Here is a 20,212-nt window from a genome sequence, read left to right as displayed (position 1 = left end):
TTGACTATTCTTAAGGTTTGTCTCTTGATGTTATGAAATTAATCGTGTCCTACTATATAAAACTATTTGAATTTACTGTTGTCAAAAGACAAAATTACAACAAATTTAGTTTAAAATTTTTAATTGGCTTTATCTGCAATTATAGAATTGGGCAACATTTATTTAATAAAATGGAATGAGCAGGCTGACGAGCTGAGCAGAGCAGAAGGGGTTGGTTTTATACACAAAGAAGGGCTGAAGAAAGCAGGAACAAAGAACAAAAATCCCTTTGTAGGGAATAAAGCAGAGGGAACTTCATTATCATGCCCATTGAAACTGACCTATTTGGGAATTTGGCTATTCTCCCTCTTTCTCTTTCTCTCTCTCTCTCTCAATCTCCTGCTTTCTCTGAAGGTCAGATAAAGTCGTTTCCACCTGGTAGCTTGGAATTTTTGCAATGAGTAACTCCATTTTGTTTTGGTCTATTGGGCCTAGCGCAAGAGCTCAGTCTAAACTGGTGACCTCCAATAGATTTTTCTTTAATGCTGTATTAAACTAACAATTGATCCTATTAAGTTCTGCTTTCTGCCGCTGGTATTCATACTAAAAGACAAAAGAGCATTGGTATTTTTCATGATGTCAAAATTCCCCAAAAGTCATCCTAGTATTTTTAAACAACTCATTATTCATGCATTTATTTAAATCCTACTTAAATTAATATATACCCTGCTTAGTCATCTTAAGCTATTGAAGTATTTCCATTCTATACCATATGTTTTCTTGTTGTGCACCTAAAGCCATTGTTTACAAACTGCTGAAGTATCTCAGGATACCACAGCAAACATACGAAGGACGGGCAGGATATTTTCAATGTCTTAGAGAAGCAACAGCAACATTTGTCAGACTAAGGTTGCAACATTAGAATGCTGCATTCCTTCCAGTTATATTTATTTTTAAATCAGGCTGGAGCAGAAAACAAGGCCAGGTTGAATAGGGCCTGGGAGACCTCACTTAGTGGTTTGAACTTTATTCTAAATTAAATGGAAAGCTTAACTAACATTTTAAGCAGGAAAAGTGCCACAGGAATTATATTCCAGACATCATAATCTTGAGGGTATTTCTCCACAAATATGAATTTTTGTGTTTTTTGAAAGAAATATATGGAAGATTCTATCTCTTGACCTACAAATAAAAACTATTGGAAATAATCCTTTAATTGTATACACTGTATTTAGAAGTTCTGCAAAACACTACATTTCAAACTCATTAGATGAGTTCAACCATAGTAGGGTTTGACTCAGAAGTAATATAAACTGTAATAATTTGGGTGACACACATGCCATTTATGTCCAATTATAATGTAGTACAGTCTCATTGATGTACATCATTTAAAATATATCAACTTCTCATATTTTAAAAAATGCTTAGCACAATGACCAAAAGAAATTTCATCAGTATCTTTATAAAATGGGATAATGAATAATTTTTAAATATACTTTTGTCCTAACTAAATTTCCTGCAATAACACAGTCATATTTATAATTTAAAAAGTCTTTCATTAAATTATTTTACATTTATATTTATCAGGCTCTTTAAATTAAAAAATTGGGCTGGGCACAGTGGATCACACCTGTAATCCCAGCAATTTGAGAGGCTGAGGCTGATAGATTGCTTGAGTCTAGGAGTTTGAGACCAGTCTGGGGAATATAGTGAGACCCTGTCTCTACCAAAAAAAGAGAAAATGTTAAAGTTTAACCAGGCATGGCGGTGCATACTTCTAGTCTCTGTTACTGTGAAGGCTTAAGCAGGAAGATCACTTCTGCCAGGGAGGTAGAGGCTGCAGTGAGCTGTGATCACGCCACTGCACTCCAGCCAGGGTGACAGAACAAGACTACATATATATATATAAAAAGAACAAATACATCAATATACCAAAAATATAATGCAAATAACAAACTATGATAAAGTTTGTGAGAAATACGACATACTAATTGTTGCAACAAAAATGACTTCATAATATAAATAAATCTTGAAAAATAAATTCAAATGCTTAATTGCACTAAACATCAAGAAATGCAGATTGAAACATATTTTTGTATATGAAATAAGGAAAGATTGAAAAAATTTTTTTTTCTGGAAATAGATTTAAAAAGCACCTTCGATATTATCATTAGGAGTTCGGCTTTTTTGGTAAGTTATTTAGCAGCATAAATAAATTCTTTTTCAAGTGTTCCTCTTTGTGCCGGATTTTCTTCTTTTATGAACTGTGAAAAATTGAGAATGACCATAATGTCAAAAAATACCATTTAGAAAGAATGGGAACAACCATTCTGTCCCCAAATACTGACTGAGAAATTACTGATTATCACAAAAAGGAACATAATATAGCCTGCGACGATCATGTTTTACAAGAATATCTAAGGACATTTTTATATTTACTGTACATGAAAAAGAGAGACCTGGATTACAGTATGACCCCATTTTACTATGTTTGTCTGCATTTATTTAACATGCAAATTTCATTAATCTCTTACTTTGTTCGGGGCTCAATGATGAGAATTGGGAATACAGCAGTAAACAATACAATGCCTTCCTTCAAAGATCACATGGACACATGCATGCCAAAAATTACAGGCAGAGCCAGACGGCTAACAGTGATTATCTGGTTGATGACATTTTGGCATCTTTATTTCCTTTTTTGGACTCATCTATAGTTTCCAGAATTCTGTGGGGAGCATGTATCAATTCATATTCAGACTAAAGCATAAACACAGTTTTGTAACATGTCACTCATTTTACTCTACACATAGATGAGGCAAGACCCTACCAGAATGAATGTGGTTTCCTTAGGCAGCTCGAGAAAATCAGTCTCATTATATCGTAGCGTTCATGATAGTCTTCATAACATGCTGCTAAGTCTCTAGAGCAAGGAGGGAAAGTAATGAAGGAGAGTACACTATTTTCTGGTATTTCCATTTTGTAATTAAGAGAGGCATTATTTTAAAACTTAGTCGAATATCAGCAGGGAGAATTTATAACAAAAATAAGAGAACCCTTCTATACCTATTGTATTACTAATGCTTAGCTATTGAGAATTTGTATAAAATTACTTAATTCAACATCTATTCAATAAAGTGCAACACTGTGTAAGATCCATCATTTTTAATTATGCTAAAAATTCCATTTAAAGATGTCACTAAATGGTTTAAATATCAGTTTATAATTATCATTGCAAAGTCTTTTTTATTCCATTAGGTTTCTAGGTGTAATGAATAATTCAAGAAAATCACTGTCAAATTTAAGTTAACATCATATAAAATAAGACTTCTATATTCTTATAAGCTTCACATTAAGAATAATTTATTATTTAGTATGCCCTTGGTAATGAGAAGGTTAATTTTTGTTAGGCCTTTATAGATGAATAGAAGTTCAAGTTAATATTAAAACATTTGACAGGGACTTCCTGCTGCTTTTTTTGTTGTGAATTAGGCCATGATTTTAATGATCAAATTTTGCTACATACTTAAATAGATATCAAAATTAATCTACAGAGAAAATAACCACTTGAAGGGCCAGGCGCGGTGGCTCATGCCTGTAATCCCAGCACTTTGGGAGGCCGAGGCAGGCAGATCACGAGGTCAGGAGTTCAAGACCAGCCCGGCCAATATGGTGAAACCCCATCTCTACTAAAAATACAAAAATAAGCAAGGCGTGGTGGCACGTGTCTGTAATCCTAGCTACTCGGGAGGCTGAGACAGGAGAATCGCTTGAACCTGGGAGGCGGAGGTTGCAGTGAGCCAAGATCACACCTGGGAGACAGAGTGAGCTTCCATCTCAAAAAAAAAAAAAAAAAAAAAGAAAAGAAAAGAAAATAACACACTTGAAATAGCCAAGGAAATTTAAATTTCTACTGGCAATAGGTCATTTAAGACTTACTCATAGAAATAAGGTAATTGATGTATGCCATTGTCTTCACTTTAGTGATTTTGGATTTGATAGGCAGAAAATAATCCACATAATAGATCTTATTTGTAACACTCAAGTTTTTCTATTTCATTCATTTTTAGCAAATGTAATTTGTATACTTTGAATTTGTTTATTCCTTCAACTGAAATTCATTTGTAATTGTTTTTCAAAAGTAAAAAGGGATGAATTTGGAGACTGGCAATGCTAAAGAAACTTATTGCAAGATAGCTTTAGGCTTCAACAGCTTGAAATGTTGCCTTTGTATCAGAGGCATAACATTTGAGTTTTGAGTGTGATGGAGAATATCAGAATACTAACTAGTTTTTAATGTAGTGGCTATTCTTATATCTTTAAAGAGCAACAATTTTACATGTATATACATATGTATATGTATATAGCATCTATATGATGTATATAGTATCTATATACATATATTTTTATGCCTTTTGTGAAAACTGCCATTTATATACTATATACTGCACTATATATACATAGTATTTATTGTAAAACCAGTATTTATCAAAATCTAAAAACCAGAAATGAATTCAGATGAGTTTAGGGACCTTTGATTCCAAAGTTTCAGTCTCCATGAAAATTTTTTTAGCCAATAAATTTTACTGAATCATTACATGATTCATTTAAAAGGGTCTTTTGTTCATTCATTCAATGTATGTGCATGAATATATGCTATGTAACAATAATCCACAATCCACTATGATTATCCAGAACGTATTGAGCATATCTGTGTGTGAGAGTCTGGATAAGAAGGGAAACATCCATTAGACCAGGATGTTCTTGTAACAGAAAAGTCAGATGGACTCAAATATCTTATTGGCATTAATTGGCATTAACTTATCCTGTGATCTGCTGTAAATGACTTCACATCCTTGGGCTGCCTTTCTTTAAACTCAAGTATATAGATGTTTTCCTTCTTTTAAAGCATAATTAAACACCTTTCTTCTGTAATGAACTTTCATAAGAATTAAAGATGATGCTTCTATGGATTATAATATTTGTTCTTAATAAAATTAATATAATGCATTTTCATTAAGGACAGCAGAAAGCTCTCCTCAAGATTTTAGAAATCTTTATTTTCTGCTTTCAAATGCAAATGTATTTGGCCTTTAAGTTTCCTTCACAATTTAAATCAAAATAACAGAGGTTATCTGCAATCTTGTCTTAAGTAGCAGACTGCTTTTCGCCTATATTTAGGTTGGTGCAAAAGTAATTGCAGTTTTTCCCATTGTTTTTAATGGCACCAACCTAATAGTAGCACAAAGCAGCAAAATAAATATTTTATAGATGTGTATCATTATATTAGAAAAAAAAACCTGGGTTAAAAGGATTGGCTTGCTTAATACAGATTTTATTTTAAATAAGCAAATTCAGAAGTATTCTAATTTAGTTTGATAGTTGCTCATTGTCTTTTCAATCATTCTTTACATATTTCTCACCACGCAAGAAAACTAATGAGACATGTCTCTACCCCCTTAACGTATTTATTTTGAATCTCTCGTTCTCTCCTGTAAGTTACTGTCTTCTTTCATGACCTTTTCTTAGACAAGAGAGACTATTTGATTAAAATGAATCAGATTAAAACTCAGTGTGAGAAACTGTAATAATCTTTTCCAATTCTTATTCATTGTTTAGGTGTGAAATTCCTCAGGTATTTGTCCTTGAAGTGGTTATTTGTAACATGGAAACTTTAGTAAAGAAATCAACTGAGAATATGTACAACTTTTCTCAAAATTATTATAAAGAAGGGAAAGGTGTATTCATGTAGTACAAGGGAGTGGTCTCCTTTTTTTTTTTTTTTTTTAATTTCACCAGTACAAATTATATCCCTAAGACTCTGGGGCAACAGAGAGATTGATATTTACGAAAGTCTTCAGGGGCTGAAATGATTTTAAAATGTCAACATACAAGTAATAAGATGTCCTCATTCTCCCTCTTCGTTAGGTGTCTGGTTCGGGGTGGTGGGAAATGTAGTGGATTGTAGAGGGAAGTGTATTTGAGTTTTATTTTTTTAATGATTACACTTTTCCAGTAAGAAAGCAATAAAGAGTTTCAATAAAAGTGTAAAGGTTAAAGCCACTGCTAAGTCTGTTGACTTTCTTTTTGTTGTTGTTACTATTTGTGGCAAACACTGTTGGTTGGCTGATCTGATAGCCATCCACAGCCCCTGCTCTCTAGTGACATTTCAGCCAGGGATGACCATGTAATACATTTCTGGGTCAGAGATAGAAGTTTACCATCTGAGAGGTTTGCTTCCCTGATAAAATGAAAGAGATTAAGCTGGCACCCAGCTCTAACCTTCATGCCTTTTGTTCCTTCCTCCTTTTCCCTGCTTGGAATGCAGAAGTTGGTAACTAGAGATACAGCATCACTTTACAATCATGAAACAGTAAGGATGCATACACAACCTTCACCCTGAAGACAGTGAAGTATAATGGTTAACAATAGCCTGAATCCGTGATAGAGCCTTTGAGAAGCTGAACTAACTTCCCACCTCTGGACTTTTTGTTCTGTATGAAAAATGAAATCCTGCTTGCTTAAACTTAAACTTGCTTTAAACTTGTTTTTGTTTTCTGTTATTAGCAATGGAATCCATTCCTAATCAATTTATAATTTTAAACTCTTCTGTTATCTGCCATCAACTGAGACTTACGATGTGCCACGCACTGTGCTAAATATTTTACATATAATAATTGATTTAATCCAAATGACAGCCATGAGGAAAGTAATATTTTGTTACAGATAACATGCTGGCATACAGGGTGGATGGACCCTGGATCCCAGTGTGACTAGATGGATTTATCAAATGAAGAAACTGAAGCTCAGAAATATTAAGCAACTGTGTACAACTAGTAAGTGGTAGTACTAGGATTCAAATGTCAGGTATATTGCCAAATTTCATGACTTTATGATTTTTGTGACTTACAAAAAGTTCATCTTTACTCGTATTTGATTTATTGTGAGGCTGGCTTTCCTTTAAAATGCATTTGTCGTTATTATTTATTTCACCCACTTTTAGGACATTTCTATTATTAAAAATGGGGCTTAACCTCATCCATTCTTTCCTTTCTGTCATTTGTCATTTCTACTTTGGTTAGGGGCTTCATTTTGTCTATTTTATTGTGCAAAATAATTTTATAATTATAAAGTTAAACTTATCATTTATGTTATATTTTCTGATGATTATATTCTACTTACATCATTCTTAGACTTCTAAGAAAAATATTTCTCCCATAATTGTATTTGAATGCTTTTACAGTTTATTTATTTATTTATTTATTTATTTATTTAGGGACAGAGTCTTGTTCTGTTGCTCCAGCTGGAGTGCAAAGTATGACCATAGCTTACTGCAGCCCTCTACCTCTTGGGCAATCCTCCTGCGTGAGCCTCCTGAGTAACAAGGATTATAGGTGGATACAGATGGCTAATTTTTAAAATTTTTCATAAGATGGGGTTTTCCTCTGTTGTGCAGGCTGGTCTTGAATACCTGGCCTCTAGTGACGCTTCTACCTCCACCTCTCAAAGCACTAGGATTACAGGTGTGAGCCACCGCACCTGGCCTAATTCTCCCTTTAATAATACTTGATCTGTATAGAATCTATTTTTGTGTGAGACGTGAGGTAAGACTATAACTTTCCCAGCTCATTAGAGCGCCCCCACTCTCACGTGCAAGAACAAACAAAAAAAACCCTGCACAGTCTGTCCATAACTAAACTTTCTGTTCCTTTCTATTGATCTCTTGTGATAAAGAATATCTCTCTCATAACCAAAGTCAGCACCATAATTAATAGAGAATTGCAGAAAGCATTTCTGTGATATTTAAGAAAAATATTACAATGCATAATTCTTCTTTAGCTACTTAAAATTCTGGAGGATATAGTCAATGCTTTAGTTATGTAGCAGATCTATTAGTATACATATAGGGAAAGAAAACACAAAATTAAAACATTTGCAATTTCTATGATGTTAGAAAACCCAAGTGTTAACTGAGAAGCTATGGGAATTAATCAAAACAACTCAGTAAATTGGCAGAATGAAATTTAATTAATCCAAAATCATGAGCTTTCTTAAATATCAGTGAGCCTAGATAATGTTTTGAGATTATAATTTATGTTTGTTCTATGTTTTTGTTCCTTTATCTTTCTTCTACCCCTACTCACAATTTAGGTAGGTCTCAGTTCTGCATTTCATTTCCGCAGGAAAGGTTTGGCTAAACAGGAGGCAAAAATGACCTATACGATGTTCTGGCTTCCTTTTTTCCACAGATGTTTAAATAATACTGAGGAGAATGGAGAGGGCTTATGGGAAAGGGAAAAGGGATATGAGGGGTGTGTGGTAGAGTCCAGATAGATGTACATAGTTAAGATAATGCAGGTTTACATATAGGAAGTTATGGTCTGCCCTTTTTTTTTTTTTTTTTTTTTTTTTAGATGGAGTCTTGCTTTGTCGCCCAGGCTGGAGTGCAATGGTGCAATCTCGGTTCACTGCAACCTCCACCTCCCGGGTTCAAGCGATTCTCCTGCCTCAGCCTTCTGAGTAGCTAGGATTACAGGCGTGTGCCACCACGCCCAGTTAATTTTTGTATTTTTAGTAGAGACGGAATTTCACCATGTTGGTCAGGCTGGTCTTGAAATCCTGACCTCGTGATCTGCCCGCCTCGGCCTCCCAAAGTGCTGGGATTACAGGCGTGAGCCACCGTGCCAGGACTTCTTAACCCTTTTTTGTGTTCTGCATTGGAATTTAGGATGAAGATCTTAAAAATGCCCATGTCGCGCCGGCTCCCTAAGAATGGAGCAGGCCAGTGGCTTATGACGCTGCCCTGAGGCTATCGTGTACCAGAAGGGATGTGAATTCTTTGCCCCCTTTTAGATACATTTCTGCCACATTTTCATGAACTGCTCTCGAAGACCTAAGAGAAACCCATAATATAAGTTTATGTGATTCTTTTCTATGTAGTGAATTTTACTCTCTACTTAAGACAGTTATTAATATAACTACTTAAACATTTAAGTCGTATAGGATAACAAAAAAAGAAAGAGAGAGAAAGGGAAAATGGGAATAGACTTTTTAAATGTGCTAAACAATCTACAATGCAATATTTTTTCTTCAGTTTTATACTTAGAAATTTTTAAATACAAACTTGTGCTTCTTATAGTTAATATTTCAGTTACGAGCCCATATTCATTAAAAATGTAGATAAAAAAGAATGGGGCTTCCTTATCTTCTTTATTTCTTATGAGAAAGCTTGAGTGGGCCTTTGAAACTTAGTTTTTTCTTCTCCCATTTATAAATGTCAAGTTTCAGATACTGGTTAACTTAGAAGCTATTATAAGCACTTGCATATTTTTACTGCAATTTTCTGGACTGCCTGCAATGCTTCTATTAACAGCCTTAGGCAAACCCTTCTAAAACATATGTCTGTCAGGCCATGCCAGTTCATTTATTGAATCATGTAGTAATAAACATAAATTTTAGCATAATCTATGTAAAAGACATTGTCTGATTCTACAAGAAAACTACAATGTTAATGATACATAATCTTATAATCCATTTAGGTAAACAAAATATAATCTTTTAGGAAGGGAAGAGATGACCATATTACGTAATAGCAGTTCCAGTCTCCTTCAATCTGGTATTTGTGCAATTACTTCAGGTTCAGTTATTCCATCACTAACTCACTGAAAAAGCTGTGCTTTGCCTCCAGAGATTCTTTGTATTTAATTACCTATAAACCAACCATCTGTTTAACATGCAAGAATTATATTCAAACTTCAGGATCATGCTACTATCTTAAGAAAATTGTCCTGCTTTGTTGTCATTTTAACCTCTTTTGGTGAGTAGTTTAGTTCATTTGGACATAAATCTAAAATTTATGTTTGAACTGCTTGAATCTTATAGATCATCTTCTTGTTTTTGCTCTAGGTCTATTCCATCTATGATATACAATGCCTATAATTCTCTAGTTTTCTTTTTATATACATCGTACATATGATACATATATAAGACAAATATGTATATATACATATTCTAGTTATAGAATTCAGTGTGATCAAAGTGTTATTGACTCTCCATGAACAGAATGCAATTGTTTAGGATCTGAACAAAAAGAAAAAACACTCTCAGCATTTACAACAAGGAATTTAATGTAGGAATGGGTTATATGGGTGATGGAAGAAACTCAGATGCTAACTAGATGGCAGTGAGGCTATCTAAACATTGGCCCACCCAAGCTTCCTCCAGATGTAGGCAGAAGGACAAAAGGAGGCAACCCGTGCCCTTGGGCTGCTGCATGAAGGCTGGAGCTCACGGTTTTTATGGCAGGAGCTAGGCCCTAGTGTGATGTTAGCTACTACCAAAGGCAGAAAGTTGAATACCTTGACTTCTCCCTTACCCCTGCCTCTAATCTGCTGATGGCAACTGGTGCCTGGAAAATGTAGACTAAAAGGACAGCCCCTTGCAAACAGAACAAAACTGAGAAGGACAAGGGCAGACATTACCAGAATAGGCACGCAGGCATACAATTCAAGTTGTTTACAGAAGTGGGGATGTGTTGCACTGAACTGTCTGCTCTGTTTCACATGTCAGTCCCTTACTCTCACTGTTCTAGCCCTGTAAGACTGCAAGAGGGAGGCATGCAGCGATTATGGCAGAGCTTCCCATGGGCCTGAAATCAAAACAATTGTCTTCTTGACCCTATATTGCATCCTGTTGAACAAACCAAGACACATAGAAAATGATTTTATTTTCCGCGGCTCATTTTTGGCAAAAACATACATTGCCACTTTATCATGCTCTTCAGTGACAGCCACAGGGAATACTTTTGGACCATATGGTAGTAGAAAAAAATCCCTAATTAAGACATTTATTTATTTCTGTGCTTTGAAGTTCTTTTTTTTCTTCATAGTTTTACTTACATGTAACACATGGAGGTGTTGAGCTGAAGTGAAAATACAGAGAATAAATGATTCTAAGAGTTGGGAACTTGAAAGCTGGGTACGAATCAAAGGTAAAAAGTCAGTAAACTGCAATTATTGTACTGCTATACAAGAATAATTATATAAATCTCAAAGAAATTGAAACCTTTGAGGCATGTACAAAAACCATATTAACAACAATGGCATAAGATAGCCTTGCTGAAGTCTGGTCTTCAGGAAAGGATTCGGTATAGACATCAATTATAAGCAAGGTGCAGCCGGGCGCAGTGGCTCACGCCAGTAATCCCAGCACTTTGGGAGGCCGAGGCGGGTGGATCACCTGAGGTCAGGGGTTCGAGACCAGCCTGGCCAACATGGCGAAAACTTGTCTCTACTAAAAATACAAAAATTATCTGGGCATGCTGATGGGCGCCTGTAATCCCAGCTACTCAGGAGGCTAAGGTGAGAGAATTGCTTGAATCCAGGAGGTGGAGATTGCAGTGAGCCGAGACCGCGCCACTGCACTCCAGCCTGGCTGATAAGCAAAACTCCATCTCAAAAAAAACCAAAACCAAAACCAAAACCAAAAAACAAGCAAGGTGCTTCATGGGGAGTGAGGACTTTCAATCATTAGAAGATGATTTCAACCGAGAATTTTTATATTGTCTCTTTACAAATGCAATTACAGAGTTACAAGGTAATTTTATGTTTGGCTTTACTATATTTCAGGTAATCAGCTTGCTACAGTTTATACTTTTTGTAGTTTAAGTACTCTGAGAGTCAGATATTTGTAAATTATAATACTAGATTGCAGAATAGATTTTAACTATTTTGATTTAAATAATATCCTGTGATTTTAAAAAGTATCTGTATTTTACATTTTATTGTAAAGATTTTGATTTATTTTTTTAGTAATGCACACATGTTTGAAGGAAGAGGAAGAGACAACTATATCTATAAATACATAGTTAATTGCTGACAAATCTTTGAAAATTATATTATCTAAATATTGTTTTTATATTCAACTAATATTAGCCACTAAAATTGCTAATTTTTACCTTCAAATTTTACAGTTATTTGATAACTACAAATCATTAATTTTTAGCAAGAAACCCAGAAAATTAAGGTAATGTCTAATCATCCTTACTGAAAAAAATCGCTAATTTTAATGGTGAGAGTGACTATCTAGGAAGAAGAGCCTTTCTTGAAAATAAATGCCTTAAATTTATAATTTCTGTGAGTTTCATGTTAGTTTTCATTTTATGATAAAGTTTTAAATAAAAAACTATACCAGTGGAGTAAGAGTTTTCTCAAAGGCTGTGAATGATCAATACCAAAAAAACTTGTTGCAAAGTAAAGACTATGGGCAATTGTTATTGACTGACACACGGAAAGAGGTAGTTTGGGTGGTAGGGGAAGGAGGCTTGAGAGAGGGATAGAGAAGAGCCACGCAATATCAAATAAGAGTTAGACAGATCTGTCTTCCTCCTCACACATACATCCAAAACTTCTGTGACTATTTTCAGAAAGGTAATTGCAAATCCAAGGAGAAACTGAACATTTGACACGGTTCAGTGTGACTTCCTTAAATCCTCACCTCTTTTGACTCCTTAGCCAAAAAAAAAAAAAAAAAAAAAAAAAAGGTGAAGTTAGGATACAAGGAACTAGGAGTGAAGGATAACATTCTATTAATGTATAAAGCTAACTCACTTGTAGCTGGGGATATTTTCTGATGGATTTGGTCATTGTTGAGTAGGTAAGATTTTATTAGGTAGAAATAGAAATTCCAAGAGGAAATAATGTGAATTTTGATTCAGTTGTTCTATGAGTGGGCCTTGGATTCTGCAGTTAACAAGCTTTTAGAATGCCGATGGTGCTAGTCTGGACCACACTTGAAATATCAGGCTAGCAAGGCAGCAGCTTCCAGTTTCTGCATCATGCAGAAACATATTCCCAAACCTATTAATCATTAGAATCACCAGTGGAAAATCATTATGTTCCCCTCCCATCTATTCTACAAACAGAAGCCAGGGCACACCTTTCACAATGTAAATCAGATTCTATCATTTACCTGCTCAAAACTACCTTCTCATCACGCTCATTACAATCAAAACTCTTTACAAAACTATGTATGATCCAGTTGGGGCAACCTCTCTAATCTAGCATATCTTATTCTTCTCCAGATACACTGGCCCTCTTATTACAAGAATCAGCCTCTGCCAAACACCTTTGTCAAGGTTTTTAAATTTGCTATTGTTTAGCCTGGAACACTTTCCTCAAGTATCTGCATAATGGCTTCTTCACTCCATTGAGGTCTCTGCTCACATAGCAAATGTGTTTTATTTTATTTCATTGTTTAGAGATGAGGTCTTGCTCTGTTGCCCAGGCTGGAGTGCAGTGGCAAGATCATAGCTCACTGCAGCTTCGCACTTCTGGGCTCAAGCTATCGTCCCACGTCAGCTTCCTGAGTAGCTGGTACTACAGACACGAGCTACCATGCCTGGCTAATTTTTATAATTTTTTAAAGATGGGATCTCACTATGTTGCCCAGGCTGGTCACATAGCAACTTCTTTCATGAGGTTTTTCTCCAATGACCCTGTCCAAAAACTATTCCTGTCACTCTTTACCCCCTTCTTCTGTTTTATTTATTTCATAGTACTTATTAACCTGATACTATCTTTTATATTTGTGTATGTTTCTGTCTTCCTATTACACTAGAATTTCACCTCCTTAGGAATGGGGAATATATCTGTTTTGTTCACTGTTGCATTGTCAGACTCTGGAAGAGTGTCCAGCACATAGGAGGTGCTTAAAATAAATGTATGTTTAAGGAACAAAAAAAGAGGAACTTTATTTGAAAATGAATCAGCCAAACAAATAGGTGTTCTGTTTCTGATAATGGTGGAGTAGGTTATATTCCATTAATATCCTTCCCCCAGTGTCCTAGGTAACAATAATACAATCTGAAAGAAAAAAAAATTAAGGACTGGAGAATAACCAAAATCAGAAATTGATCCTTGACATAAGATAACAGCATTGATCTTGCTTTTCCATTCTAGTTTGTGTAGTACAGGGCAGCAAGGACTCAAGCAGAAAGCTACAGTGTTTTTTATTTGAGTTGCTAAGGGACAACCTAAGTGGCTAAGAATTTCCCTTCAGTAAGGAAAGAGTTACAGAGGAGGGAGCACCACAATATAAATATAAACTTTCCTCAATCCCTTGTTGACTATGTAAGTGTAAGTGAGAATCCAAGAAGCTCGGTGGAAATCAATAGCTGAAAGTTTAAAAGGCTTCCTAGAGATTTTAGCTACTGTCCACTACAAGGAAGACAAACATTTGGAGTGTGAGTCATGACAAGTTAAAAGGGCTTGACAAAGAATACCTTTGGTTTTCCATTGAAACACCATGCTTTCGGATTAAAGACTATAACACAGAATTTATGAGATCTGACCTAAGATATGGGAATAGGCCTGCTTTAATGACATGTAAAGCAAAACTTCAGAAGTTTATGGTGAGCAGCCTGTAATTTAATTGCCTGCTATCAAAAAAAATACTACTACTCAGAGAACAATAACAGAATCCAACATTTCCCCCAAGTATCATCCACAATGTCTCACCTATGATAAACATCACAAAATATGCAAAGTAAAACTATGACACTGGATCAGGAGGAAAAGTAGTCAATAGAGACAGACCAGCAGACCCAGAGAAAAATTGGGTGCTGGAGTCGGCAGACAACACCCTTAAACCCACCATTATAAAGAAGAAAAAAATGGTCATAATGAGTGAACATAGAAATGCAAACTAGAAAAAAGAACATAATGCAAATGCTAAAGCTAGAAATTAAAATATCTGAAAGAAAAATGTCACATGACAGGCTTAACAGTTGATGAGAGATGGCAGAAGAAATAGTCAGTTGAACTTGAAGATGGATTAATATAAATTATCCAATTTGAAGAACAAAGAGGAAAAAATACATTGAAGATGAGGAACAGACCTTTAGAGATATGTGCGATAATATCAAGCCATCTAATGTACATATACTTGTAATTCCAGCTAACAGGAAGAGAGAAAGAGGAAAAGAAACATATAATAAAAATATGATAGCCAAAATTCCCTAAATATGGTGGGGAATTTTTAAGGCTGAAAACAAACTTCAGGCTTTAAAACCTCCAATAATTTCCAGTAGGAGTAATGCATATAAAACAGTAACATAATAAAACTGCTGATAACTCAAAACGAAAAGAAATGCTGAAGTAGTCAGAGGTGTGTGTGGGGAGAAGGTAGGGGTAGGGTGATGGAATATTAGACACAGGAAAACAATGATTCAAAGATGATTGACTTCTCACCAAAAACACTGAAGGCCAGAAGACAATGGAACAAGTCTTTAAAGTGTTGAAAATAAAATTATCTCAACTCAGAATTTTATCTCCAAAAATAATAACTTCAAAAAGAAAGACAAAACAAAGACTTTTCAAATAAAAGCTGATAATTTGCCATGAGCAGAACTTGCACTGTAAGAAATGCTGAAGAATTTTCTTTAGGTTGAAGAAAAATAATGACTAAACAACTCAGATCTTCAGGAAAGATTGAAGAGCAGAAGAAAAGATAAATACGTAAATGCATTTAAAATGATATCCTTTTTTTCTCCCTTAATTTCTTTAAAAGACAACTGCATTTTTTGGTTTTAAATTGTGTATTGACAAATTATAGTTGTATCTATTTATGGGGTTCAAAGTGATGTTATGATTTTTTAATACAGTGTGGAATGTTTAAGCTAATTAATGTATTAATCATCTCAAATATTTTACATTTTTGGTGATGAGAACATTAGAACTTTACTCTCTTAGCAATATTGAAATGTACAGCACTCAGTTATTAGCATATTCAGCATGCTATGTAACTGATATAAAAAAATCAGATAAGGTTGTATCATGAGTTTTATAGTGTATATGGATTTGACATCTATAACAATAATAGCACAGAAAATGGGAATAGATAGGATCATGGAGTTAAGCTCTAGCATTTAAGTCAGCTGGACAAAATATTAGCTCTAAGTGCTGTGATAACTTAAAGATGCATATGGTAATTATATGTAAATTACTAAAAGCAATCCACATAGGTGTAGCTAAAAGCCAAAAATAAATAAATAAATAGGTCGGGCTCAGTGGCTCACGTCTGTAATCCCAGTACCTTGGGAGGCTGAGACTGGAGGATTACTTGAGCCTAGGGGTTCAAGGCCAGCCTGGGCAATATAGCAAAACACCATCTCTACAAGAGATTTTAAAAGTAGCACATGCCTGTAGTCTCAGCTACTCAGGAGGTTGAGGTGGGAGAATTGCTTGAGCCTAGGAGATCCATGCTGCAGTGAACCATAATTGTGCCTCTGTACTCCAGCCTGGGCAACAGAGTGAGACCCTGTCTCAATAAATAAATAAATAAAGACTTAAAATGGATTGCTAATAATAAATAATTAACTAATTTAAAGGGGTGAAGAAAAGAAACCTGTGCATTTTGATGTATGTAAAGTTTTACTGTAATAAAACAAGGAAAAAAATACTCAAATGAACAAAAACAGACCTAGTGGATCCCAGAATATTGGGAATGGGATTTAGAAATTTATAACAATCCCCCCCACAACAATTGTGATGATCATCCATGTTTGAAACTATTAATGTAGATAGATCTTACCAACTTTCCTGTGGTTATGAAAAACACAAAGCCACTTTCAAGGCTCTTCTCTCCTTCATACAGACACATCACTCAATTGTGAGAGCAGCAGGAACCTCAGACTTGTCAGCTGGGGGAAGCTGGATATGGCCTAATGGTCTGTAAGAACTATGTCATCAAAATGACAGCAGTTATGAAAGCCTTGGATAGTTTAAAGCTTGCTATTTTCTTTTTTATTCTTACATACTTCTTGCTAACTTTTATCTTCCTTCAATTTGTTTTTTATAGGCATCTGATGGAGAGAGAATTATCATAATCTGACACTTCCATTTTTATAGGAAAAGAGACTTGCATGGGGAGTATCAATGTCCTCTGTCAACTCAGACATTTATGGCCTAAGCACATTTGGCACTGAAGTTTTAAGGAGACAAGTCTGTGGTATATACAGTATTTCTATAAATCCAGTGCTTTGAGGAGGATGGAGAATCTGTCAGAAATGTAGAGAGACCAGTGAGATCTGTAGTACATCATCAGGCAAGTCATGAGAGATTTGATATAAAACTGTTTCTTGTTCCTCTGGAAGTCACCTTCCATTGTGTTGTGTTGAGGCAAATAAGAAGGAAACTCTTCAGGAAAAAAGCTGATTTAAAATCAGGACAATAATTTATAGTGCCTAGTGTGGAGATTACATGTGCAAATCTCAGTGTAGATAAAAGTGTATAATTTGTAGATTATAAATACTCATTTAATGTAATATTAAGAAAATTTTATAATCATTTTAGAAACATGAATTTTTTCCCAGTAACCTTCCAGGATGGTGGATAAGGTTCCATATTCTTCAGGAATATAACCTGATCAAAATCCTCTAATTTCATAATGAGTATCCTGATTGAAGGTTATTTCTACTAAATTTCTCCACATCTGACTCTCTGAGTTGGAAATTTTTTTTCATTCATTCAATACTTATTGAGCAACTAATGTGGTTTATGCTCTGTGATATCCTGTGAGGATACTACTCCTGCCTCACATATCTCAATCTAATGAGAGATGCACACAATTTAAGAGACAGTTGGCAGATACTATATTAAGTATTGCGATGGGGAAGTACAGGTACATGGGGAAGGCTGTGTAACTCAGAGCAGAAGGAAAGCTTCCTGGGAGATGTGCTCTCTTAAGGCAAGACTTAAGGAATGATTAGGATTGGGAGAGTAACACAGGAAGAGGATGAAGTACAGATTCCTGCTTCAGGAAGAGGAACAAACATGTGCAAAAGCCTAGAGGTGGGAACGGGCATGGAAAATTCAGTAAACCCAACATATCTCAGGCTATTGAAATATGGGGTGAGATAGAATGAGAAGGTTAAGAGAGAGGCTTGTGAGGAAAGCAGGTCCCAGATCATGAAAAATGTGTAAGCGATATTTAGGAATATGTAGTTTATTCCAGAAGCAACTAGACGTCATTAAAGTGCTTTCAAAGCGGGAATGGCATGGCCACATTTGCATTATAGAAAGATAATTCTCACTGCAGTGCAGAGAATGAGTTGGAAAGGGAGTTTGGAAGCACTAGGGTCAGGAAGGCCAAAGAGGATATTGCTGAGTAATCTATGTGAGAGGTAATGGTGACCTAAACTGGGGTGGTGATAATGGAAATAGAGAGAAGAGTAGAGATTCCTGGAATATTTAAGAGGTGTGATTGTAGGACCTGGAATACAAGAGAAGAATCATTGAGGTCTAAACTGAGTTATAAAGGATGTGAATATCAAAATAATTTTGTAGAAGTGGATTCAAAAGAACTGAGATCGCTGTGAAGTAAAAATTAATGTTTAATGGAAGTAACAGAATGCAAGAGCTGGAAGAGTAGCTGGAAGAGTAAGAATCTGTACTCAAATAGTGAACTTTCGGGTTAAGATTTCAGAGGTGGAGAAACAGCAGGTGATGATAAAGCCTAGGGTATGGTATTGAGTGTCTGTAACTAAAGTGGAGCGGAGGTGAAGACCATTAAGATCACTGGAGACAGAAAGCCAAGGAAACAGTAGATGTAGTGCTGCATGAGATTTCCACTTTTTTTTGAATTGTAAAATGAAGATTGAGGCAGAGATGAAAACTGCGAATCAGATCCTCAAGCTTTCAGTGAATGAGAATTACCAGGAGGTCAATTCATGAGAGAGTTAAGAAGGAATAGAAGGTTGTATAGACTAAATGACATCATACTAAAAGAACTTGTCTCTGTTACTCAGAAGAAACAGAAAAATTTCCTTCAGTGACATTCTTCTGACATCTTCCAGATGGAAGCTCATTAGTAGAGTAGTTGCTCTTATCCAAGTTACATCTTTGACATCTCTTTACCTGAGTTAACCTCTGCTGATTCATCACTTTATTATTCCTTTAAATTCCAGTTCTTCTGATGTCCTACCAGTGGTTTCTCCTATCCTAACATTAACAGCCCTTTGGAAATGTGTGCAAGTATGTGTGCCTGTGTGTGTGTGTGTGTGTGTTTTTATGTGCTGAGTGGAGGTAAAGGTCATTCTACCTGTACAGTTTTGTGTCTCATTTTTGCTTCATAGAAATGATGATCCTTTGGGTCCAAAAGAGAAACAAAAATGAGGCATGTGCTGAGAAGTCAGCTAAATATGCAATGGACATAGACAAGCACCAACGATTGAAAAGTAAAGTTAGAGGATCACAAAGAGCAGCGTTGGGAAGGAGAGATGTTGAGTCTCCACCCTGTTTTAGATAGACTGCTGTATTTGAGATTCTGGATTTTCAGGACTTCATTGGAGCCAGAATGAAATTATAGGTTTGCAGGAGTTAGTCTTCCTATTAACGAGTGCTATGGGGAAATGAAAGTGGGATGGAGAGGGAAACCAGGATTAACAGACCCAACAGTCATGAGGGCCTCTCATTCCAAAAATAAATGCCGTAAAACAGGAAATTCAGGGTCTTCTACCCGACTGCAGACAGTGACATCATTGAGAGCAAAAAATTATAGCTTATAATTTCTTTGCCCTTAGGGGCCCCTGCAATTTTATTATAATGGTTTTAGGTGTTAATTAATTGTTTTCAGCTTGGGATTCATTGAGCTTCCTGAATTTAAATACCGATGTCCCTTAACAGTTCTGGAAAAGCTTTAGCCACCATCTCTTCCAATGTCTCTGCTATTCTTTCTGGAACTTTGAATAGCTGCATATTTCTTTTACTCTGTCATTTACTTTTCCTACTTGTGCTTTCACATTCTGGATAATTTCTTTTCCCTGCAGATTCAATCATTCTCTTTTCAACTATACAAATCTGCTGTATAATCCTTTCTCTGGGTTTCTTCATTTTAAGGTTTATCTTTTCAATATCTTGAAGTTCTATTTTTAGAAAACTAAAGCCAGGACTAACTTAACTTAAAATTTCCCCTCAAACTTTCTTCAGACAAGAAAAATGGTGAAAATTTGAACTAAAGACTCGCGAGAAAGCTTGCTAATGGTTATAAATCCTCTAAGGAGGCACCAAGTTCTGGACAGACATATTTCTTTTTGATCCTTTTCTAAAGGAGAGGATTTACTTCTCATTCACCTTTGCTCCGATCGTTTAGTACTCTGGGGTCCAAGCTGTATTAAGGTTTTAGGCTTTATCTCCTTCCTCCTTCCACCCCAGTCCTGCCACGGGGTTGTCAGAAACCA

At 35.5% G+C, this 20,212-nt stretch overlaps 3 annotated features.

Annotated features, from left to right (window-relative positions):
* Window positions 1,206–1,350: an enhancer, noted in NCBI's record as "145 bp 7:124449868 sequence used in MPRA reporter constructs". NCBI's record gives its function as "activates a minimal TATA-containing promoter with rs17147496 allelic activity by MPRAs in C283T melanocytes {active_cell/tissue: C283T}" and the evidence as "EXISTENCE:reporter gene assay evidence [ECO:0000049][PMID:36423637]".
* Window position 1,278: a transcriptional cis regulatory region, noted in NCBI's record as "rs17147496 or 7:124449868 MPRA-significant variant associated with a GWAS melanoma risk locus at 7q31.33". NCBI's record gives its function as "allelic transcriptional activity by MPRAs in C283T melanocytes {active_cell/tissue: C283T}" and the evidence as "EXISTENCE:reporter gene assay evidence [ECO:0000049][PMID:36423637]".
* Window positions 13,983–14,277: a silencer, noted in NCBI's record as "tiled region #10744; HepG2 Repressive DNase matched - State 7:EnhWF, and K562 Repressive non-DNase unmatched - State 24:Quies". NCBI's record gives its function as "represses a minimal TATA promoter and a strong SV40 promoter by Sharpr-MPRA in HepG2 and K562 cells {active_cell/tissue: HepG2 | K562}" and the evidence as "EXISTENCE:reporter gene assay evidence [ECO:0000049][PMID:27701403]".

Source organism: Homo sapiens, chromosome 7 (assembly GCF_000001405.40).
Source record: "Homo sapiens chromosome 7, GRCh38.p14 Primary Assembly".
In the NCBI taxonomy this organism is placed as follows: Eukaryota; Metazoa; Chordata; class Mammalia; order Primates; family Hominidae; genus Homo; species Homo sapiens.
This window is presented reverse-complemented; position numbering and strand designations above follow the sequence as displayed.